The sequence below is a fragment of the Homo sapiens genome, chromosome 17 (genome assembly GCF_000001405.40).
Source record: "Homo sapiens chromosome 17, GRCh38.p14 Primary Assembly".
NCBI classification, from domain to species: domain Eukaryota; kingdom Metazoa; phylum Chordata; class Mammalia; order Primates; family Hominidae; genus Homo; species Homo sapiens.
The window spans coordinates 76,822,212-76,845,167 of record NC_000017.11 but is presented as its reverse complement, the minus strand read 5'-3'; the positions used below and the strand labels follow the sequence as shown (position 1 = coordinate 76,845,167).

Here is a 22,956-nt window from a genome sequence, read left to right as displayed (position 1 = left end):
GGAAGCCCCTGATGGCTGTAACAGAATGCTGCAGACTCCACTGGGTCCCATGAGCCCTTCTGGCAAATCACCAAGTGTGTGGGCCGTCCCAGGGACCGCCACAACCAGGACCAAAAGGAAAGATGGAAACTGAGTAGCAATCTACAAAAACTGTCTCAGGAATCAAGAATCGGTTTGTGCTATATTTATGGGTTGCCTTGGTTACGAATAGTCAAAAAATTTAGAACCCCTGTGGGCTTAGCAGAGCAGTCATGAAAGACTGGCCTGGGTGAGGTTCGTGGTGAGAGAATGCAGAAGAGGACCTAGGAGAGGCATTGCAGGGAGTCGAGCCCTCACAGAACTGCCCAGCATCCCAGGTCACAGGTCCAGCAGGGCTGTACTGTCTGCTGTTTGGGGACCACCAGCCATTCTTCACTGTTAAGACAGGAGCACCCCACAGCAGCCTGACCACATCCCCCACTCCAGGCCATCCCTGCTCATGTCATGGCCCTTTTCCAGGGCTGTGATTCCAATCTGTCCCGCAGGGGGTCTTCCTGGTGACTTGTCTCCATATCCGTCCCCCTTCTCTCTTCCCCAGAATACGTTCAGTCATCAGTGATTCCTCCTAACAGCAAATCTCCCGGGCCTGGGGCCTGTCAAAGAGGAGCCCCACCTGCCTCTGGTCTTGGTCCACAATGCATTTAGGGCATCACGATTTTGCAGTGACCTTCAGAAGGTCTCTACAATAAGAGTGCCTAGCAGGCACGACTGTGACCATGGAGGTTATGGCAAGAGTATGACTCAGAGTTCCAGAGGGGCCGGGAGTCATCAGAAGCTCTGCACAAGCTCCACTCCTGCCTCTGGCATCACAGAACAGATGATCTGGGGACAGGCACACTCCAGGAAACACAAGCTGAACTCAGCTGCTCCTGCCCTGATGGGACACCTATTGATTTTCTGAGATCCTTGTAGAAATGGTGCACTGTGTGCTCTGTGGGCTGGGGAAGGGGTGTAAGCTTAATCGCTAAGCCTGACCAGTCTCTCCTGTTTGAACACACACAAGCACACAGACACGTTCCCATGTGCACACCTGGCACCTGCATGGGTCGACTGGCTGTGATGCAACTGAGTCCCCTTCCCCAGGAGGCCACCAGATGTCCCCACCTCCAGGGTCAGGCCAGCAAAGGGGCCCACCTTCATTTGACCACCCCGACTGCTGGTCCTGGAGCTGGGTTCCTGGAGGGGCTTCCTCAGAGGCAGAAGTGCTTCCTGCCTCCCAGACAGCAGCCACATGGCTCCCTCACAGCCGAGGATGCTAAAGAGCCACAGACCATGTGCCTCAACCAGCAGAAATCTATTATTTCACAATTTTTCTTTTCTTCTTTTAGAAACAGAGTCTCGCTCTGTTGCTCAGGCTGGAGTGCAGTGGTGCAATCACGGCTCACTGCAGCCTCAATCTCCTGATCTCAAGCTATCCTCCCTCCTCAGCATCCGGAGTAGCTGGGACCACAGGTGCATGCCACCATGCCCAACTAATTTGTTTTTTTTTAAAAGATGGGGTCTCAGCTGGGTGTGGTGGCTCATGCCTGTAATCCCACACTTTGGGAGGCTCAGGCTGGTGGATCATCTGAGGTCAGGAGTTCGAGAACAGCCTGACCAACAGGCTGAAACCCTGTCTCTACTAAAAATACAAAAATTAGCCGGGTGTGGTGGCGCACACCTGTAGTCTCAGCTACCTGGGAGTCTGAGGCAGGAGAATCGTTTGAACCCAGGAGGTGGAGGTTGCAGTGAGCCAAGATCATGCCACTGCACTCTGCCTGAGCGACGGCGAGACTCTGTCTCAAAAAAAAAAAAAAAAAAGATGGGGTCTCACTATGTTGCCCAGGTTGGTCTCAAACTCCTGGCCTCAAATGATCCTTCTACCTTGGCCTCCAAAAGTGCTGGGATTACAGGCAAGAACCACCTAGCCCAGCAATTTTTCCACAATTCTGAAACCTAGAAGTCCAAGTTCAAGGTGTTAGCAGGGTTGGGTTTTTGTTCACGCCTCCTACGTTGGCTTGCATGACCTTCACCTGGTCTTCCCTGTGTCTGTGTCCCTCTTCTTGTAAGGACACCCATCATGTTGGATAGGGCCCATTTTCACTTAATTTTTATTTTATTTTGAGACGGAGTTTCACTCTTGTCGCCCAGGCTGGAGTGCAGTGGTGCAATCTCGGCTCACTGCAACCTCCGCCTCCCAGGTTCAAGCGATTATCTTGCCTCAGCCTCCCAAGTAGCTGGGATTACAGGTGCCACCACCATGCCCGGCTAATTTTGTATTTTTACTAGAGACGGAGTTTCAACTGTTGGCCAGGCTGGTCTCAAACTCCTGACCTCAGGTGATCCACCTGCCTTGGCCTCCCAAAGTGCTGGGATTACAGGCATGAGCCACTGCACCTAACCTAATTACCTCTTTTTTCTTTTTTTTTGAGATGGAGTAGCCCTCTGTTGCCCAGGCTGCAGTGCAGTGGTGTGTGATCTCAGCTCACTGCAACCTCCACCTCCTGGGTTCAAGCGATTCTCCTGCCTCCCGAGTAGCTGGGATTACAGGCACATGCCACCATGCCTGGCTAATTTCTGTATTTTTAGTAGAGACAGAGTTTCACCATGTTGGCCAGGCTTGTCTTGAACTGATACCCCCACCTCAGCCTCCCAAAGTGCTGAGATTACAGGTGTGAGCCACAGTGCCTGGCCCTAATTACCTCTTTAAAGACCCTGTCTCCAATGGTCACATTCTGAGCTACAGGGTTTGGGGTTCTAACATACGAATTTGGTGAGATGAATGCAATTCAGCTCTTAAAAGGTGCCCACTCAGAGAACTGCCACCCAGCAGCAAAAGGGTTAAAGGCAGAAGCCGGGTAGGGGTGGAGAGCTGGGGGGAGTGTGTGTCTGCATTAAGTAGATTAAGTGGGAGGGACTGCTCCAAGCCTCAGCTATAATTAGAGAAATTAAAGTCCCGGCTGGAAAGAGCAGGAGCTCTCCTGCCTTATCATTAATGGGGAGTGTGCTGGTGCTCCGGGGAAGTTTGGGTTTGCGGCTGCTGGGACCTGTAATAAGGGGAGGAAGTGAGCTGACTCCAGCCAAGGTGCTTGGTGCATGGCTCAGAATAGACCTGGGTATGCATGAGACCATCCTAAGGTCTCTGGGAGCCCAGCCTGCAAGCCTCCAGGTTCCCCCAGCCAAAGCCCACCCCAAGTGATCCCCCCACCCTCTACCAGAGGAGCACTGGCCGGTCCAGCTCCGACTGGTCAGGGCACTCGGCCCCTCTCCCCACGAACAGCGCAATTTGCTGCCTGAGCTACAAGAGGTGTTTGTTTGAAACATGAAGGTACTGAAGGACTGATCCAGGTGCCCTGGACCCACTGGGTACAAGGGGAAACTAGTCCCTTCCGGAGGACGCTGCTGGAGGGGGTGGGGTCAGGTCCAGTAAGGAGCAGAGTGGAACCCCCTTGCGTGGCTGCATCAGAGGCCACCCAGGGGCCACAGCATGGGCAGTCACAACTCCAGCGTGGGGGTAGTGATGACTTCCCTTGCTCAGGAATTCCAGCTTTTGTCTTCCTTCTACCCTTCACCCAAAAGACCGGAACCGGGGGAGAAAAAAAGGGAGTGTCCTGGGGCAAAGGGAGACACAGCCCTCCACAGACATGGGTGGGTGGGGGGAACAAAAGGAGAGAGAGAGGGGGAGAGACTGAGAGGCAGAGAGAGAGAGAGAAAGGGAGGGAGAGGCAAAGAGAGAGGGAGAGACAGAGAGGTGGGGTGGGGGGAGGGAGAGACAGAGAGGCAGAGAAAGAGGGAGAGAGAGACAGAGAGGGAGAAAGAGAGGGAGAGATAGAGAGGGATAGAGAGGCAGAGAGAGAGAGGGAGAGAGAGGGAGAGACAGAGATGCAGAGAGAGAGGGAGGGAGAGGCAAAGAGGGAGAGACAGAGAGGCAGAGAGAGGTGGGGGGAGGGAGAGAGAGGCAGAGAGAGAGAGGAAAAGAGAGAGGGAGAAAGAGGGAGAGACAGAGAGGCGGAGAGAGAGAGAGAGGAAAGAGAGGCAGAGAGAGATAGAGACAGAGAGGGAGAGAGAGACAGGGAGAGGGACAGAGAGAGAGAGGGAGGGACAGAGAGAGAGAGGGAGGGACAGAGAGGCAGAGAAAGAGAGGCAGAGAGAGAGAGAGAGAAGCAGAGAGTGGGAGAGACAGAGAGGCAGAGAGAGAGTCGGGGGAGAAACAGAGGGAGAGAGGAGAAAAGAGACAGAAATAGAGAGAGACAGAGAGGGAACAAGAGGGCGGGGAGAGGAGAGAAAGAGACTGACTGAGGGAACAGAGGGAGTCAGGGAGAGAAAGAGGGAGAAAAGGAGAGAGAGGAAGAGACAGGTGGGGAGAGAGGGAGGTAGAAAAGAAGAGAGGGAGGAAGGGACAGAGAGCTTGGCTCAGGGAGGCCAACAAGACTGTTTTACCAGGAACACAGTGATGAGAACAGAGCTCTGGTCTGGAGGGGCTGATGCTCCCTGTGGAAGTCCAGCTCTGGTCTGGAGGGGCTGCGTGCTCTCTACAAGGAAGACGACGTGCTGTGCTAGTGAGTGTTGGGACAAGACCTCTTTGAGGAGGTAACACTGAATTCAGACTGGAGTGAGGAGGAGACACAAAGGTGCCAGGGAGGTAGTTCCAAGCAGCAAATGCAGGAGCCCTGGGAGGGGTCAGCACTGGGCAACTAGAAGGGGAAGGAGGAGATGGGGTGGGAGGGCTGGGCAGGCCAGACCACAGAGCAGCTGGGATGGATTCTGGTTGCAGTTAGGGGTGCAGGGAGCGAGGTGCTGGGATTTGTGCTGTAGCCGGGTCACTCTGGCTGCTGGGCTGGGGGACACGGGACAGGAGTGGGGAGGCAGAGAGCTGGGAGGGCCAGCCTGATCCGGAGTGGGCTGAGGCAGTGGGGGTGGAGGGAAGTGTAGGTTGGGATATGTCTGGAGGGACGAGCCCAGGTGACTGGCTCAGGGCAGGAGAAAGAAGGAAACAAATGCAACTCCTGAATCTGGAGGCTGAGCAGTGGCAGGTGCCGTTCTCTGCGATGGGGAAGGTGGGATCAGAGAATTTTCACGTGCTCAATCCATGTGCCTATGAGGCACCCAGGAGAGGTGTCAAGAAGAGATGGATCTCATGGGGGCTCAGGGGAGGTGTCAGCGCAGGGAACAGAAATGCAGAAGACAGCGGCAGATGCTCTACAAAGGCACGGCACAGGTATTAACAGCCTCCTAGGAGGCGCTGTCCAACACCGCAGCCAGCAGCCAGCAGCCACTGTGGCTATTTACATTTAAATTCATTAAAATGAAACTAAAAGGAAACCTCAGGCCGGATGCAGTGGCTCAAGCCTGTAATCCCAGCACTTTGAGAGGCCGAGGTGGGTGGATCATCTGAGGTCAGGAGTTAGAGACCAGCCTGGCCAACATGGTGAAACTGTCTCTACTAAAAATACAAAAATTAGCTGGACATGGTGGCATGCACCTGTAATCCCAGCTACTCAGGAGGCTGGGGCAGGGGAGAATTGCTTGAACCCAGGAGGCAGAGGTAGCAGTGAGCCGAGATCATACCACTACACTACAGCCTGGGTGACAGAGGGAGACACTCCATCTCAAAAAAAAAAAAAAGAAAGGAAAAAAAAGGAAACCGGTTTCTCAGTCACACTGACCACCTTGCACGTGGCTCATGGCTACTGTGTTGCACAGCACAGAGAGAACATCTCCAACATGGCAGAAAAATCTGTTGGGGCCGGGCATGGTGGCTCACGCCTATAATCCCAACACGTTGGGAGGCGGAGGCAGGCAGATCACTTCAGCCCAAGAGTTTGAGACCAGCCTGGGCAACATACTGAGACCCCCATCTCTACAAAAAATAAAAAATTAGCCCAACACAGTGGTGCATGCTTGCAGTCCCAGCTGCTCAGGAGGTTGAGGCATCAGTGAGCAGTAACTGTGCCACCGCACTCCAGCCTGGATGACAGAGCAAGACCCTGTCTCAAAAACAAAAAAAAAAGCACCTCTGTTGGACCATGCTAAGATAGAAAAGACAGCCAAGAGCTGAGCCAGGCACAGGCCAGCATTGAGTGCTCAGAAACGACACCTGAAAAATGTGCTGTCTGGGGGGCCTGGAGCTGAGAGGTGACGTCGCTCATCAGAGACCTTGTCAAAGGCCAGTTCAGTGAAGAGCGGAGAGGACTGAAGTGAGCGGAGGGGAGGAAGTGTAGACCATGAGAGGAAAGAAATAAGCATCAGGCCGGGCGCTGTGGCTCATGCCTGTAATCCCAGCACTTTGGGAGGCTAAGGCAGGCAGATCAAGAGGTCAGGAGTTCGAGACCAGCCTGGCCAACATGCGAAACCCCGTCTCTAGTAAAAATACAAAAATTATCCAGGTGCAGTGGCGCGTACCTGTAGTCCCAGCCCCTCGGCGCAGGAAAATCACTTGAACCCAGGAGGTGGAGGTTGCAGTAAGCCGAGATGGTGCCACTGCAGTCCAGTCTGGGCAACAGAGCAAGACTCTGTCTCGAAGGGAAAAAAAAAAAAAAAGAAGCATCAGCTCAAGGGTGGTCACCTAGGACGTGTCATCATCACAGGAGGAAGGACTGGAGTCTTCAGGCCTCTATGCCATTGACTGTTCACGGCCTGGCTGACCCCTTTCTCAGGATGTCCTACAACAGCCGGAGCCCAGAGGACAGAGCCCAGGCTGAGAGTCAGCAAGCGGAGGGAGCACTCTGCCCTGAAGCCTGGGCTCACTCCCTGCACTGTGAGTTAAAGATGGCACTGAGCTGTCTTTCTGCTTATTCTAGATCCAGTTTCACTGGCGCTGGCCATGTCCAAGGCCAGGCCCTGAGCTCACCAGCTGAAATGGAACCTGTCTCAGGGGGTCCAGGCCAGCAGAGCCATTTCAACAGGGTCAAGCCTTCTCAGCCCAGAGCAGACCCCAGAAGCAAAGGGCTCCCACTCCAGGGCCCTGTGACAAGGCTCTGAGCCACTTCCTTCCACCGTGTGCTCAGGGCGAAGGTGGACAGCCCCAGACAGGGCCCGGGCATTCTTTGGGTGGCCTCCTACGTCTTTCCTCTGTGCCCCTTCCCTGCTGTCTCTTTGTGTGTCTGAATTTCCTCTTCTTTTCTTTCCTTTTTTTTTTTTTGAAACAGAATCTCACTCTGTTGCCCAGGCTGGAGAGTAGTGGCGTGATCTCAGCTCACTGGAAACTCCGCCTCCCAGGTTCAAGCAATTCTGTCTCAGCCTCTCGAGTATCTGGGATTACAGGCACGTGCCACCACGCCCGGCTAATTTTTGTATTTTTAGTAGAGACGGGGTTTCACCATGTTGGCCACGCTGGTCTGGAACTCCTGACCTCAGGTGATCCACCCACCTCGGCCTCCCAAAGTGCTGGGATTACAGGCGTGAGCCACCATGCCTGGCCTGAATTTCCTCTTTTTATAAGGACACCAGTGAGACTGGATTATTGCCCGCTGAGCCTCATTTTAACTTAATCACCTCTTTAAAGGCCGCATCTTTAAATACACTCACATTCTGAAGTACAGGGGTTAGGGATTCACTATGAGTTAGTTTTTTTTTTAAGAGATGAGATTTTACTATGTTGGCCAGGCTGGCCTCAAACTCTTGTGCTCAGGCGATCCTCCCACTCAGCCTCCTGAGTAGCTGGGACTACAGGTGCATACCACCAGGCCCAACTTTCATCATGAATTTTTTTTTGAGAGAGGCAAATCAGCCCCTCACACACAACCTCAGGTCCTATTCCAGGACACTGTCAGAATGTGAAGAGATAAAAAGGCACAAGCCCCCTTCCCCACTTGGCCTGGCTCTGTCTGAGCTCTGGGTTCAAATCCTGCTTTAGAATATAAAACTGCACAGACAATACGACTCAGGTTATGGAAATTAAATATGAAGACAAAGCAAATATTCTAAAAGATTAAATGGCAGGCTTATATGGGCAGATTAAATTTTTTCATTTTCCATTTTTTTGTATAGTATGTATTAACTGTTTTTTTGTTTTTTGAGACGGAGTCTCGCTCTGTCACCAGGCTGGAGTGCAGTGGCACGATCTTGGCTCACTGCAAGCTCCGCCTCCTGGGTTCACACCATTCTCCTGCCTCAGCCTCCTGAGTAGCTGGGACTACAGGCGCCCGCCACCACGCCCGGCTAATTTTTTGTATTTTTAGTAGAGACGGGGTTTCACAGCGTTAGCCAGGATGGCCTCCATCTCCTGACCTCGTGATCTGCCCACCTCGGCCTCCCAAAGTGCTGGGATTACAGGCATGAGCCACCGTGCCCAGCCCTAACTGTTGTTTTTAACAAAGAAATGTTTTTAAAAATCCCAATTCAGCTGCTTACTGTAAAATCATGGACAAATTATTTTTTTTTTTTGAGACAGATTCTCACTCTGTACCCCAGGCTGGAGTGCAGTGGCACAATCTTGGCTCCCTGCAACCTCCACCTCTGGGGCTCAAGCCATTCTCCTGCCTCAGCCTCCCAAGTAGCTGGGATTACAGGCATGCGTCACCATGCCCGGCTAATTTTTGTATTTTTAGTAGAGACGGGGGCTTCACCACGTTGGCCGGGCTGGTCTGGCCTCAAGTAATCCGCCCACCTCAGCCTCCCAAAGTGCTGGGATTACAGGCGTGAGCCACTGCACCCGGCCAAGACATGCTTTTTAAATCCCAACTCAGCTGCTTAATGTAAAATCCAGGACAAATTCCTTCTGAAAGGTTTCCCTTCTCCATCTCTTTCAGATTTCATCTGAAATTGGGCTTATGCTGCCTCCCATAAAGGAAGTTGAAGGATTAAATGACACAACTTATATCAGTGATTTTCTAACTTATTGGCTATAGAATCCCTTTACTCTCCTAAAAATTATTGAAGCCTCAAAGTGTTTTGTTTCTATGCATGTTACTCATCAATATTTATTGTATTAGAAATTAAAACAGAAATTTTAAATTTTATTTAACTCCCTTAAAATAGCAACAATAAACCACTACATGTTAACATAAATCACATCTTTTTATGAAAAAAAAAACCTCTTTTAAAACAACACAATGTTAGTCAGAAGGTGCTGTTTTAAAGTAGTGCAAGTCCAGGCACGGCGGCTCACACCTGTAATCCCAACACTTTGGGAGGCCGAGGTGGGCAGATCACTTGAGGTCAGGAGTTCAAGACCAGCCTGGCCAACATGGCGAAACCCCGTCTCTCCTAAAAATACAAAAATTACCCAGGCGCCATGGTGCACACCTGTATTCCCAGCTACTCGGGAGGCTGAAGCGGGAGAATTGCTCAAACCCAGGAGAAGGAGGTTGCAGTGAGCCGAGATCACACCACTGCACTCCAGTCTGGGCAAGAGAATGAAATTCTGTCTCAATAAATAAAGTAGTGCAGATCTCTTTAATGTCTGGCTTAGTGGAAAGAAGCAAGTGGACTCTTCTGTCTGCTTCTACATTCTGGCCATTGTGATATGTTGTTTTGATTGAGAAGAACGAAAACCTCCTCGAGGCCAGGCGCGGAGGCTCATGCCTGGAATCCCAGCATTTTGGGAGCACAAGGCAGGTGGATCACCTGAGGTCAGGAGTTCAAGAACAGCCTGGCCAACATGGCAAAATGCCGTCTCTACTAAAAATACAAAAAATTAGCTGGGTGTTTGGTGGACGCCTGTAATCCCAGCTACTTGGAAGGCTGAGGCAGGAGAACTGCTTGAACTCGGGAGGTGGAGGTTGCAGTGAGCTGAGATCATGCCATTGCACTCCAGCCTAGGAGACAGAGTGAGACTCTGTCTCAAAAAATAAAATAAAATAACTCCTTGGGTCTCAGAGGGCCCCACTTTGAGAACTGCTGACTTACACAAAGCCCCTGGCACAGGGCTGGGTGGGGTACCCCCGGCCTGGGTCCCATAGGGACAGTCAGGACTGTTCTGGTCCTGATTCCAATTCAGCAGCACAGGACTGGCCTCCCACCAGAGCCCAGGGACAATGGCAAGTGACAAGAGCCGCGGAGGCAGCTTGGGAGGTGGCGATGACAGAGGATAGAATCGACCCAGAAAAGCAAACTTTGATTTCCTAAAAATATCCCTGAGTTAGGAGAGTCTCCCCCAACGGCCCCTCCCAATTCAAATCCATGAAAAGCCAGATGCAAGGCACCCAGCCAGGATTGAGATCAGGCAATTAGACCATTTCAGACAAGCTTGCAAGCTCTCAGACGCACAGACATTTCAGCCGTACAAAGAAAATGTGCACTTTGTGGATACAATGACAGCAAATCGTTTTCCCTTTTTGTCCCTCTTCTTCGTCCCTGTTCATAGACAAATGATGGAGAGAAATAAGCATGATTCTGTGCAGACAAGACGAAAATAAGTTTAACAACAAAAGGAACATCTTTTAGGGAAGCTTTCGAGCTGATGCAGCCCCGTCGGGGTGGGGAGCAACTTCCCCCGAGGCACAGCCTGCTGGGGTCTGCCTGGCCCCTGAGTCCACGAAGTCCCTGGATGACAGAGGCTTGGGTCGTGGAGCATCTGCCCTGATGTGGGGTGCACAAGGGGACCTGAAGGCACCAGCTGAAATCAGAGAGACCACTCTGTGGACGTCCTTACCAAAGCTGCAGGTATCAGGCTGGAGAGGACCCCAAAGAGCCTCTCACAGACTCTGTAGTAATGGAATTTGCAGCCGGCCACTGGACGAACATAATCTAATCACTGCTCTAAGATACCTACTTAACTTTGCCCCAGCTTACTACCCATATACCTTTCTCTCAATTATGAGAGGCCACTCAATATCAGGGGTTCCCAGCCATGCCTTACTGTCCCCCCCTGCCATTCCCTCCTCTGCTGAACAATAAGCAACCTTTTCCCAAGAAGAGTGGCTTCACTCCCCTCCTATGCTTCTGGGTCCCAGCCTCCAGCAGAAAGAGACATCCCATAACTATGCCGTATGGGAGCTGCCAGCAGCAAGGCTCAGGAGGGGCTGCTGGGAAGCCTCTCTGTCCTAGTGGGCTCCGGCTACCATTGCAAACCACAGACTGGGAGGCCTCATCACAGGCATTTGTGTCTCATGGTGCTGGAGGCTGGGAAGTCCAAGATCAAGGTGTTGGCAGATTTTGTTCTCAGGGAAGCCTCTCTTCCTGGCTTGCAGATGGCCACCTCCTTGCTGTGTCCTCACATGGCAGAGAGAATTCACGCGCAAGCTCTCTGGGTCTCTTCATACAAGAGCACTAATCCCATGGAGAGGGCCCCACCCTCATGCCTTATCTAACCTAATCACCTCCTAAGGCCCGTCTCCTAATACCACCATACTGACAGCTATGGTTTCAACATAGTGATTGTCAGGGAGATACAATATTCAGTCTAGAGCATTCTCTATGGCTACTCCACCATCCCCCACCGCAACTCTTCACAAGGGACCCTCCACTATCCCCCCAACCCCTCACAAGGGATCCTCCATTATATCCTGAACCCCTCACAACAGACCCTCCACCATCCCAACCCCTCACAAGGGACCCTCCACCATCCCCCCAACCCCTCACAAGGGACCCTCCATTATACCCCGAACCCCTCACAATGGACCCTCTACCATCCCCCCAACTCCTCACCAAAGACTCAGCCATAGAACTCACTGCAGAGGAATTGACTGGGCTGTCCTGGGGAGGGGCTGGATGAGTACCATCATCTGTCATGCAACAGGAGGCCCCGCCCAGGACAGCGTGATCATTTGCAGGGAGACACAATGCTCTGTGCTCCCTGTCTCCATTGGGCCACCCTCCCAGCCCCTGCAAATGCATACACTCTTTCCACCTTCCTTACTTCCCACACAAAAAGGAATGTCCTTCTGCAACAAGCTCCACATGGAAAGTCAGCATTCAATATCAGAAGAGAGGCTTTGTTTTGGGGAGGGACGAGGAGAGAATTGAAGAGTCATGTGACCCTAATATATCTGTGGTTCTGGCAGGGACTTTGTATATATGCATCATCTCATCCTCACACGTCTGACGAAATAGGTGGCATTATCCCCATTTTACAGAGGGGAAATCTAAGTTCTCACAGCTGGGGAGTCCGGAGGCCAGGATCCTCAAGGGTCTATCCAGTCCCAAAGTTACTCACTTTCTTTTTGAGATGGAGTCTTGCTCTGTCACCCAGGCTGGAATGCAATGGTGAGATCTCGGCTCACTGCAACCTCTGCCTCCCGACTTCAAGCGATTCTCCTGCCTCAGCCTCCCAAGTAGCTGGGATTACAGGTGCCTGCCACTATGCCCAGCTAATTTTTGTATTTTTAGTAGAGATAGGGTTTCACCATGTTGGTCAGGCTGGTCTCAAACTCCTGACCTCAGGTGATCCACCCGCCTTGGCCTCCCAAAGTGCTGGGATTACAGGTGAGAGCCACCGCGCCCGGCCAAGTCATTCACTTTCCACCACACCACACTTTCAGAATAACTGGAAGCTCCCCCCAGGCTAAGCGGGGCCTCCCACAAAGTGCAGAAGATGATGGAGGAAGGGATGGGGTACAGAAGCAGAAGTCATGTCTGCCCGACGGTGCTGACGTAAGGTGGTCACTCTTGGGATGTCCCGTGATGGTTAATATTGAGTGTCAACTTGATTGGATTGAAGGATACAAAGTATTGTTCCTGTGTGTGTCTATGAAGGTGTTGCCAAAAGAGATTAACATTTGAATCAGTGGACTGGGAGAGGCAGAACCACCTGCAATCTGGGTGGGCACCATCTAATCAGCTGCCAACGTGGCTAGAATAAAGCAGGCAGAGGAACGTAGAATAAGGACACTCTCTGGATCTTCCGGCCTTCTTCTTTCTCCCGTGCTGGATGCTTCCTGCCCTCAAACATCAGACTCAAAATTCTTCAGCTTTTGGACTCTTGGACCTACACCAGTGATTTGCCAGGGGCTCTCAGGCCTTCAGACACAGAGTAAAGACTACACTGTCAGCTTCCCTACTTTTGAAGTTTTGGGACTCAGGCTGTCTTCGCTGCTCCTCAGTTTGCAGAAGGCCTATTGTGGGACTTCACCTTGTGACTGTGTGAATCAATTCTCCTAATAAACTCCCCTTCATATATACATCTATCCTATTAGTTCTGTCCCTCTAGAGATCCCTGACCAATACATCCCCTTTAGTTAAATGGAATGGGACAACACGCCCAAGACCTACCCTGAACATTCCCAGGACTCTGAGTTGCTTTAAAATATGCTTTTGTCAGGACACAGTGGTTCACGCTTGTAATCCCAGCACTTTGGGAGGCCAAGGCTGGTGGATCACCTGAGGTCGGGAGTTCAAGACCATCCTGGCTAACATGGTGAAACCCCGTCTCTACTAAAAAAATACAAAAAAATTAGCCAGGCGTGGTGGCAGGCACCTGTAGTCCCAGCTACTAGGGAGGCTGAGGCAGGAGAATGGCGTGAACCCGGAAGGCGGAGCTTGCAGTGAGCCGAGTTCACGCCACTGCACTCCAGCCTGGGTGACAGAGCAAGACTCTGACTCAAAAAAAATAAATAAATAAAAATAAAAAATAAAATATGTTTTTGTTCTGGAAAGCAAGAGAGTAGCCTGGCACTGCTTGCCCTCCCCAAGTACTCGGCCCAGTTACTAAGGAGCTGGCCCAGCCTGCTCAGTGGGGTCAGATGAGGCTTGCCAAGTCATTCTCACCAGCAGCAGAATGAGAGGGAACTCACCGCCTGAGGACCTTGGTGTTCAGGACAAGCACCAGCCTGTGGATTCATTAATGCAGATCTACCCAGCTGCCCTGAAGGATAAACTCTCGCCCACCTTTCAGGCAGAGCCCCCATCTAGAAGCCTACGATCTTTGGCAAAACATCTTTTCATGCGGACATTTTATAACTGATGTTTTCATGTATGTGCAGCTGCCTGCTGTCACACGTATCTGTAATTTGTGGATTTCAACCGGATGTTCTATCATAGGCAGGAGCAAGTTGTTTGCAAAACATACAAGTCAAATAAATTAATGGACCATTAAACGAGGCTCTCCTTGATAGCCTAGAGAATGCTCCTGATCTATAAATCTGCAGATATTAATAGCATCTGCAGGCCAGGCACAGTGGCTCACGCCTGTAATCCCAGCACTCTGGGAGGCCAAGGCAGGTGGATCACCTGAGGTCAGGAGTTTCAGACCAGCCTGGACAACATGGTGAAACCCCATCTCTACTAAAAATACAAAGATTAGCCGGGCATGGTGGCGGGCGCCTGTAATCCCAGCTACTTGGGAGGCAGCGGCAGGAGAATTGCTTGAACCCGGGAAGCAGAGGTTGCAGTGAGCTGAGATCAAGCCATTGCATACAGCAGAGACTCCATCACAAAAAAAAAAAAGCACCTGCAAAACCAAAATCCCATGTCTCTCTTGCCAGCATGTGTACACTCCCCTAACCAGTAGAGACGAGGCAGCAGCCTCCCGCATGGCCCCAATGGTCCTTACCTCCTGGTATCCATGCCCTTGCGGAATCTCCTTCCCTTGGGTGTGGGCTGGACCTGCTTCCAACAAATATAACACAGAAATGATAAGATGTCACTTCCAGGTTACAAAAAGAAACCATGGGCCAGTGTGGTGGCTCACACCTGTAATCCCAGCACTTTGGGAAGCCAAGGGGGGAGGATCACTTGAGCCCAGGAGTTAGTGACCAGCCTGGGCAACATGGCAAAACCCCAACTCTACAAAAAATACAAGAATTAGCCAGGCGTGGTGGCAAATGCCCATAGTCCCAGCTACTCAGGAGGCTGAGTCAGGAGGATCACTTGAGCCTGGGAGGTGGAGGTTGCAGTGGGCTGTGATCACACCACTGCACTCCAGCCTGGGCAATGGAATCAGACCCTGTCTCAAAACAAAAAGGAAAAGAGAAATAAATGGTGGCTTCTGTCCACTCACCCCTCTCTCTCTCGCCGGCTCTGAGGGTGACTCTTCCTGCCATAGCTGCTTTACAAAGAGGCTTCTGCAGCAGGAAACTGAGGGCAGTCCTTGATCAACAGCCAGCAAAGAAAGTTCTGCCAGCAACCAGGGAGCAAGCTTAGAATTTGATCGTTCCCCAGTGGAGCCATCTGATCACAATAGACCCCAGCCAACTCCCTAACCACAGGCTTCTTGAGAGACCTGGAGGCAGAGGCACCCAGCTAAGCTGTGCCCAAATTCTGACCCATAGTAATAAATGAGACAATACATGTTTGCTGTTATAGGCCTCTGTGTGTTGAGGCGCTGAGTTACACAGCAATAGCTCCCGGATACACAGACATACACACATGCTATACGGACAATTACCAAGTCTCACATCAGTTCTTACACACATAGTCACAAATAAGAGGTACAGCCAGAAAAACGTGAGCACAGATTTCTATATCAAACCTTCAAGGTTGCATGTTGTATTATTGTAGTTTTTTTGGTTGGTTGGTTGGGGTTTTTTTGTGTTTTGTTTTGTTTTTGAGACGGAGTCTTGCTCTGTTGCCCAGGCTGGAGTGCAGTGGCACGATCTCAGCTCACTGCAACCTCCGCCTCCTGGGTTCAAGCAGTTCTGCCTCAGCCTCCTGAGTAGCTGGAACTACAGGCACCCACCATCATGCCCGGCTAATTTTTATATTTTAGTACAGATGGGGTTTCACCATGTTGGCCAGGCTGGTCTGGAACTCCTGACCTCAGGTGATCCACCTGCCTCGGCCTCCCAAAGTGCTGAGATTACAGGCGTGAGCCACCACGCCTGGCCTTTTTTGTTTTCAGACAGGGTCTTGCTCTATTTACCAGGCTGGAGTGCAGCAGGTCAAACACAGCTCACTATAGCCATGACGTCCTGGGCTCAAGTGATCCTCCTGCCTCAGTCTCCTGTGTAGCTGGGGCCACAGGTGCACACCACCACACCCCAGCTATTATTGTCATTTTCATATATAAACTTTCCAAATTCTTCCAAAGTCAAAGCAATCCACTAACCCTGAGGCAGGAGGAAGTGGGGCAGGAGAGGCAGACAGCTTTTGTTTTCAGATTTCTTTCTTCTTTTTTGAGTCAAGGTCTTGCTCTATCACTCAGGCTGGAGTGCAGTGGCACAATCACAGCTCACTGCAGCCTCAACCTCCTGAGCTCAAACGATCCTCCCACCTCAGCCTCCCAAGTAGCTGGGACTACAGGCATGTGCCACCATGCCTGGCTATTTTTTTTTTTTTTTTTTTTTTTGGGAGAGACAGAGTCTCACTATGTTGCTCAGGCTGGTCTTGAACTCATGGCCTCAAGTGATCCTCCCTTCTCAGGCTCCCAAACTGCTGGGAATACAGGTGTGAGCAACCATGCCCAGCCTGTTTTCAGGTTTCTGAAGCTAAGAAGCTCAGTTTGTCTGACTTACCTACGATGACTCTCTCTCCCTCTTCTACATAAAAAACAGCCTATTTCGGAGAAAATTTAGTGCCAGCCAAAGGGGTATCTACCTTGCTTACTGTGGGACATTACTTCTATTCCAATTCAAGCTTTTAAGAATAATTTTTATTTTAATATCTTGAACGTATGAGAAGAATCCATCCATAAAATAGACTGCTCGATATTTCATTACACTCAGATCCCAGCCGAAGTACCCTGCTGGCTGCCTGCCTTCCCTCGGCCAGGAGGGTGCAGGTGTCCCCATGGAGAGAGGCAGCCTGGACTCCTTGGCTCTGCCCAGATCCAATGCCAATACCCTGTGCCAGGCCCCGCTAGCTTCAAAGATTCCCTCCACACCCCTGACATGTCCTACTGACTCATCCTCTTGCTGCAGGATACACATAAGCATCCATCTTCCTGAAAGTCATTTATTAAAAGAGAGTCTATCTTAGAAAGAGCTCTAGGCTGGGCACGGTGGCTCACGCCTGTAATCCCAGCACTTTGAGAGGCCAACGTGGGTGGATCACGAGGTCAGGAGTTCGAGATCAGCCTGGTCAAGATGGTGAAACCCCATCTCTACTAAAAATACAAAAATTAGCCAGGTGCAGTGGCAGGTGCCTGTAATCCCAGCTATTCGGGAGGCTGAGGCAGGAGAATCGCTTGAACCCAGGAGGCAGAGGTTGCAATGAGCCGAGATCGCACCACTGCACTCTAGCCTGGGCGACAGAGCAAGACTCCGTCTCAGAAAAAAAAAAAAGAAAGAAAAGAAAGAGCTCTAGTGCCCCAGGAAAGGCCTGCTGGGGTGCATGCTCAGGTATGTGTAACTGAGCTCGCCTTGGCTAAACTCCAGTCGCAGAGGCAGCTTGGAAATTGGCCCAAGGGGAAGGGAGAGTGAGTAAGAAGACACTGGGGCCGGAGCAGGGTGGACCTGTGGCCTGGAAAGAGAAACGGGATGAGCACGGCATGGCACGGCACGGCACGGCACGGCAAAGGGCCCATGCAGATGAGGCGTCTCCAGTCAAGGTGGCCCAAGAGAAAAATTATCTGTGGGGACTGATCAAGAACCACCCACGTTGGGAGGCTGAGGTGGGCAGATTGCTTGAGCTCAGGAGTTCAAGACCAGCCTGGGCAACATGGTGAAACCTCATCTGTACTAAAAGTTGTTAAAATTAGCTGGGCATGGTGGCACGCACCTGTGGTCTCAGCTACTGGGGAGGCTGAGGTGAGAGGATCACCTGAGCCCGGGGAGGTCAAGGTTGCAGTGAGCCAAGATCATGCCACTGTACTCCAGCCTGGGCAACAGAGTGAGATCCTATCTCAAAAAAATAAAAATAAAAAGAGCCACCACGTGGGGAAGGGACAGCCAACCTCATCTGAAGAACCAGTGTCAGGACTGAGGGGTCATCCAGAAGGCTCAGACCAGCACCCTCAGCCCTTCCCACTAGCACAAGGGACCAAAGGTGGATGGGATCATTGGCCAAGAGCTTGGTCAGCCCCGTTCCAGTGGCACCCTCATACACAGCACACAGAGGCACCCACAAATACCCACACAAGGGCCAGGCGGGCATGGAACACACACTCTGACACTCCACAGTCAGATACAAGAACAGCCCACAAGCACCACTGGGACACCTAGGGGCCCCTTGCTCAGCCCAGACCTGCCATCAGGCATGGAGAGGCCACTGCCCCGACCAGAGGCAGGATGGAAACCGAGTCTCCTGAGGCCTCCCTGCGGAGTGCAGGCCCTCGTCAGTGGAAAAAAGGAAGGAAGAGGAGGCTCCTACTTCTCTGCAGGAGAACTTTCTAGAGGGTTATTCCGCTGGCCTCTCCCGTGCAGGGCATTTCCAATTCTCTGTGACTTCCGGATATGCAAGGATTCAAAGCCACAGAACTGATCAGCTTCACCGCACCCCCTACATGCACGCCCCAGCCCCGGGAGCGTGCCTTCCACTTCCGGTGCTCCACCAGAGGAGAGGCCACAGCACTCCTGTAACAAGACGCCACAGTGATGGTTCCATCTCCTGGAAGCTGGTGAATAATTCAGGAGAAATACTTACTCCCGTTTTAATTAATCCACATGCAATTTCAGCAGCAGAAATGCACCATCACTCCGGCCAGGAAGCAGCAGGTACAGGCATCTTATTACTCGGCATTTGATAGCCCGGCTCTCACTTGGTTGTTAACAGCCTTCACAAGAAGAAACCTCAATCTGCACCGAAATGATGAGACCGGTGCAGAGGGAGACATCCCGGAGCCTGGACGCCTTCAGGCCTCGTTTCCTCCCCAGCCCATCCTCAGCGCAGAGTGGGGGAGAGAAGTCCTGCTTGCCTCATGTTGGACAGCAGCCGCCCTTGCATGTGGAAGTTACACACACTCACTCACAGGGACCAGCGCAGGGAGAAACAGAATTGGCTACCTCCACCTCAATGCTCCCCTTCCGCTCACGGGCACCTGCCACTGCTCTGTCCAGTCCTGCCCTCCACGGTGCCTTGAGGGCCTGTGTGGTACAGCCGAGTACACCAGGACCCAGCGAAGAGGTGCCTCCCTCAACACTGTCACATAGCTACGAAGGGGTCAAACTGAGACCCCAGGTCTGTTCACTGCTGGTGCTCGACCCCCAGTGGGTCCATGGATGCTAAACTGGGGAGGGTCATGAGGCTGAGGGAGGGAATCCCTCCGCCAACTCCCACTACACAAAACACAGGAAAGAGACAGAGGATGCCGAGTCCAGGAAGAGAGACTCCATGTACCTACCAGGGGGCTGTGGGTGCCCCTGGGAAAGCAGGCTGCCTGGCAGATGGCACAGAGTAAAGAGGACAGGGCCCACGGTGGTGACACAAGGAATGTGAATGGCTTTGATAGGCAGTCTGGGAGCTAAGGAAAATTGGATGAATGGAGTTCAAGGGGTCATGGTCTTAAGAAAAATGGTCTTTTGGCTGGGTGTGGTGGCTCATGCCTATAATCCCAGCACTTTGGGAAGCCGAGGTGGGCGGATCACTTGAGTTCAGGAGTTCGAGACCAGCCTGGCCAACATGGCAAAACCCCATCTCTACTAAAAATACAAAAATTAGCTGGGCGTGGTGGTGGGCACCTGTAATCCCAGCTACTCGGGAGGCTGAGGCAGGAGAATCACTTGAACCCAGGAGGCGGAGGAGGTAGTGAGTGGAGATCGAGCCACAGCACTCCAGCCTGGGCAACAGAGCGAGACTCCACCTCAAATTTTAAAAAAATAAAAATGGTCTTTAGTTTGTTAATATGTTCAAGAGGGAAAGCGTTTATAAAGTGAGGCAAAGGTGCTGGAGAGAGGGAGACAGGAGAGAGAGGCTGCCCTAGGACGTTGCAGCCCCACTTGTAGAGAGCCCCTGGAGGGAAGGACAGCTCAGAAACACAGCTGCCACTGCACCCAATGCACACGCACCTCCTCTGCAGTGGGTTGAATAGTGACCCCCAAAAAGCTACATCCACATTCCAGAATCTGTGAATGAGGCCTTACTTGGAAAAACATTATTTGCCGAAGTAATTAAATTAGGGGCCTAGAGATTTAAGAAAATCCGCCTGGATTTTCATTGGAAAATGAACATTTTCTCTTTTTTTTTTGAAACGGAGTTTCACTCTTGTTGCCCAATGGCACGATCTCAGCTCACCATAACCTCTGCCTCCCGGGTTCAAGTGATTCTCCTGCCTCAGCCTCCCGAGTAGCTGGGACTACAGGCGTGCGCCATCACGCCCGGCTAATTTTTTTTATTTTTAGCAGAGACAGGGTTTCTCCATGTTGGTCAGGCTGGTCTAGAACTCCTGACCTCAGGTGATCTGCCCGCCTCAGCCTCCCAAAGTGCTGGGATTACAGACGTGAGCTACCGCGCCCGGCCCATTTTCTCTTATAAGGACACTTGTCATTGGAGTTAAGCTCCTCCTGGAAAATGCAGGAGAAAGGAGGAGGAGGCCACGTGAAGACCGAGGCAGAGACTGCAGTGATGCAGCCACAAGCCAAGGAGTGCCTGGAGCCCCCAGATGCTGGAGGAGGCAAGAAACGGACCCTACCCTCGAGCCTTCGGAGGGAACACGGCTCTCCCACACCTTGATTTTGGATGTCTGCCTTCTAGAACTGAAATAAATACCTGCTGTCAGCCGGGCGCGGTGGCTCACGCCTGTAATCCCAGTACTTTGGGAGGCCAAGGCGGGAGGATCACGAGGTCAGGAGATCGAGACCATCCTGGCTAACACAGTGAAACCCTGTCTCTACCGAAAATACAAAAAATTAGCCGGGTGTAGGGGCGGGCGTCTGTAGTCCCAGCTACTCTGGAGGCTGAGGCAGGAGAATGGCATGAACTCGGGAGGCAGAGCTTGCAGTGAGCTGAGATCGTGCCGCTGCACTCCAGCCTGGGCGACAGAGTAAGACTCTGTCTCAGAAATAAAGAGAGAAAAAATACCTGCTGTCCAGACATCCGGTTTGTGGTCATTCATCACAGCAGCCACAAGAAACTAACACCCCGGCTATGCTCAGCCGCATGAGAGGACAGGAATCAGTCAACCGATGGGCCATCAAATGGCAGGGAGGGAGGGACCCTATTCAGCCCGGCTGACCGTGAGGAGAGGAGCTGAAGAGGGAAATGCAGGATGGCACTGAGCTCAGGAAAGCATGAGGCGAATCCCAGAGCAGGGGGTAGGTTTACGGTGGAACACTCAAGGTGGGTGGAAGGATGCTGAAGGCAAGGCTGCGGGCAGCTGAAGGACAGTCAAGAGGAGACACAGCCCAGGAAGGGCTGGGGTCGGGGGAGCAAAACGGAGGGTGAGCAGATCAACTCCACTTCCAGACGTGTCTCGGCAAAGCTCAACCATCCAAGAGCAGGAGCGGGGGAACCAGCAAGGTGCTCTGGGCAGGTGCGTGTGTGCAGAGGTGTGCAGGACAGGGAGTGTGTGTGGTGTGTGTAGGTGTGGTGGGTGAGCGTTTGAGTGTGTGCAAGACTTTATGAGGGGCCCGGCGCGGTGGCTCATGCCTGTAATCCCAGCACTTTGGGAGGCCGAGGTGCGTGGATCACTTGAGGTCAGGAGTTTGAGACCAGCTTGGTCAACATGGTGAAACCCTGTCTCTACTAAAAATACAAAAATTAGCCGGGCGTGGTGGCACATGCCTGTAATCCCAGCTACACGGGAGGCTGAGGCAAGAGAATCGCTTGAACCCAGGAGGCAGAGGTTGCAGTGAGCCAAGATCATGCCATTGCACTCCAGCTTGGGTGACAAGAGCGAGACTCTGTCTCAAAAAAAAAAAAAAAAAGTTTATGAGGGAGAGTGTGCAAGTGTACAGGTGCATGTGCAAATGTATAAGCGGGTGAATGTGTGTGTGTATGTGTGCACAGGCACCCAGGAGAGGGGAATACAGAATCAAGGTTAGAGGAGGCCAAAAGCAGTGACTTACGCCTGTAAACCCAGCGCTTTGGGAGGCTGAGGCAGGAGGATTGCTTGAGGCTAGAAGTTCAAGATCTGCCTGAGTAACATAGCAAGACCCTGTCTCCACAAAAAAATTAAAAATTAGGCAAAGCACCCTGGCTCATGCCCGTAATCCTAGTACTTTGGGAAGCCAAAGCCAGAGGATCACTTGAGCTCAGGAGTTTGAGACCAGCCTGGGCAACACAGTGAGACTTCAACTCTATTTAAAATAATTATGGCCGGGTGCGGTGGCTCACGCCTGTAATCCCAACACTTTGAGAGGCTGAGGCAGAAAGATCACTTGAGTCCAGGAGTTTGCGACCAGCCTGGGCAACATGGCAAAACCCCACCTCTATAAAAAAGAAAATACAAAAAGTAGCCGAGCATGATGGTGCCTACCTGTTAGTCCCAGCTACTCGGGAGGCTGAGGTAGGAGGATTGCTTGAGCCTGGTTGGTTGAGGCTGCAGTGAGCTGTGATCGTGCCACTGGACTCCAGCCTGGGTGACAGACGAGACCCTGTCTCAAACAACAACAAGAAAAAATATTCGCTTTTCCTTACCTTGAATGCCACTGGGTGAAAATGGTGGTCAGAGTTCCTCAGATCAACTCAGTTGAAATAGAAATGTTCCAGGGGGCTCCTAAGACACGTCACTGAGAGTGGGAATTCCAAGTTTCCCAAAAGCCCTCCTGCCGCTTCCCAATACCCACCTCCTCCACCTTCCACCTCATTCTAAAGCCCAGGCTCATACCCAGAGGGTGCTAGGCCCAGTGGCCCCACACACTCCTCCTCCTCACTGGCCTCCTTCAGAGGCCCAAGTGACAGCTGGGCAGTGCTTGTGGGTGATCTCAGCATGAGCACCCACGTTTTTAGCTGCAGAAGAGAGGAGCTTGAACTAGATGATTGCAAAGATGAGGGACAGCTCCAACATAATGCTGCTGGCTGTACACTGACAAAGTGCCTTGAAGATCACGGGCTTGATGTCACCATGAAGTGATGCTGAGTGGAGGCCAGCATCCACTGGCCCCGTGCCAGAAGAGGAACAGAGCCTCCTGCACTCCACTCTGCCGGGTCCAGAGCTTCGGAGCCTCTCTGCCACAGCCAGGGCTGACCCCACCCCCTTTCCCATCCTGACCCAGGCCTCCAGGACCCCAGCTCCAGATCAAGTGG

The 22,956-nt window shown here is 52.0% G+C and overlaps 1 long non-coding RNA gene across 1 annotated transcript, besides 8 other annotated features; it reads right to left on the bottom strand.

The window, feature by feature from the left end:
* Window positions 1-829: an enhancer, noted in NCBI's record as "H3K4me1 hESC enhancer chr17:74840421-74841249 (GRCh37/hg19 assembly coordinates)". NCBI's record gives its function as "activates a minimal SCP1, AML or CMV promoter by ChIP-STARR-seq in primed H9 embryonic stem cells {active_cell/tissue: H9 hESC(primed)}" and the evidence as "EXISTENCE:reporter gene assay evidence [ECO:0000049][PMID:30033119]".
* Window positions 3,361-3,877: an enhancer, noted in NCBI's record as "H3K4me1 hESC enhancer chr17:74837373-74837889 (GRCh37/hg19 assembly coordinates)". NCBI's record gives its function as "activates a minimal SCP1, AML or CMV promoter by ChIP-STARR-seq in primed H9 embryonic stem cells {active_cell/tissue: H9 hESC(primed)}" and the evidence as "EXISTENCE:reporter gene assay evidence [ECO:0000049][PMID:30033119]".
* Window positions 5,132-5,181: an enhancer, noted in NCBI's record as "active region_12817". NCBI's record gives its function as "activates an Ori minimal core promoter by ATAC-STARR-seq in GM12878 lymphoblastoid cells {active_cell/tissue: GM12878}" and the evidence as "EXISTENCE:reporter gene assay evidence [ECO:0000049][PMID:35858748]".
* Window positions 5,292-5,351: an enhancer, noted in NCBI's record as "active region_12816". NCBI's record gives its function as "activates an Ori minimal core promoter by ATAC-STARR-seq in GM12878 lymphoblastoid cells {active_cell/tissue: GM12878}" and the evidence as "EXISTENCE:reporter gene assay evidence [ECO:0000049][PMID:35858748]".
* Window positions 5,365-5,560: a silencer, noted in NCBI's record as "fragment chr17:74835690-74835885 (GRCh37/hg19 assembly coordinates)". NCBI's record gives its function as "represses an EF-1alpha promoter that drives an FKBP-Casp9 reporter gene in an ReSE screen in HepG2 liver carcinoma cells {active_cell/tissue: HepG2}" and the evidence as "EXISTENCE:reporter gene assay evidence [ECO:0000049][PMID:32094911]".
* Window positions 5,602-5,651: an enhancer, noted in NCBI's record as "active region_12815". NCBI's record gives its function as "activates an Ori minimal core promoter by ATAC-STARR-seq in GM12878 lymphoblastoid cells {active_cell/tissue: GM12878}" and the evidence as "EXISTENCE:reporter gene assay evidence [ECO:0000049][PMID:35858748]".
* Window positions 6,292-7,016: an enhancer, noted in NCBI's record as "H3K4me1 hESC enhancer chr17:74834234-74834958 (GRCh37/hg19 assembly coordinates)". NCBI's record gives its function as "activates a minimal SCP1, AML or CMV promoter by ChIP-STARR-seq in naive H9 embryonic stem cells {active_cell/tissue: H9 hESC(naive)}" and the evidence as "EXISTENCE:reporter gene assay evidence [ECO:0000049][PMID:30033119]".
* On the bottom strand, window positions 9,841-22,228 carry LOC107985089 (uncharacterized). The gene is made up of 4 exons (XR_001753021.2): window positions 22,187-22,228; window positions 14,897-15,012; window positions 14,450-14,502; window positions 9,841-10,314 (listed from the first exon to the last, which is right to left on the bottom strand). It is a non-coding gene; the product is annotated as an uncharacterized LOC107985089 (long non-coding RNA).
* Window positions 18,418-19,234: an enhancer, noted in NCBI's record as "H3K4me1 hESC enhancer chr17:74822016-74822832 (GRCh37/hg19 assembly coordinates)". NCBI's record gives its function as "activates a minimal SCP1, AML or CMV promoter by ChIP-STARR-seq in naive H9 embryonic stem cells {active_cell/tissue: H9 hESC(naive)}" and the evidence as "EXISTENCE:reporter gene assay evidence [ECO:0000049][PMID:30033119]".
* Window positions 22,229-22,956: the final 728 nt, after the last annotated feature.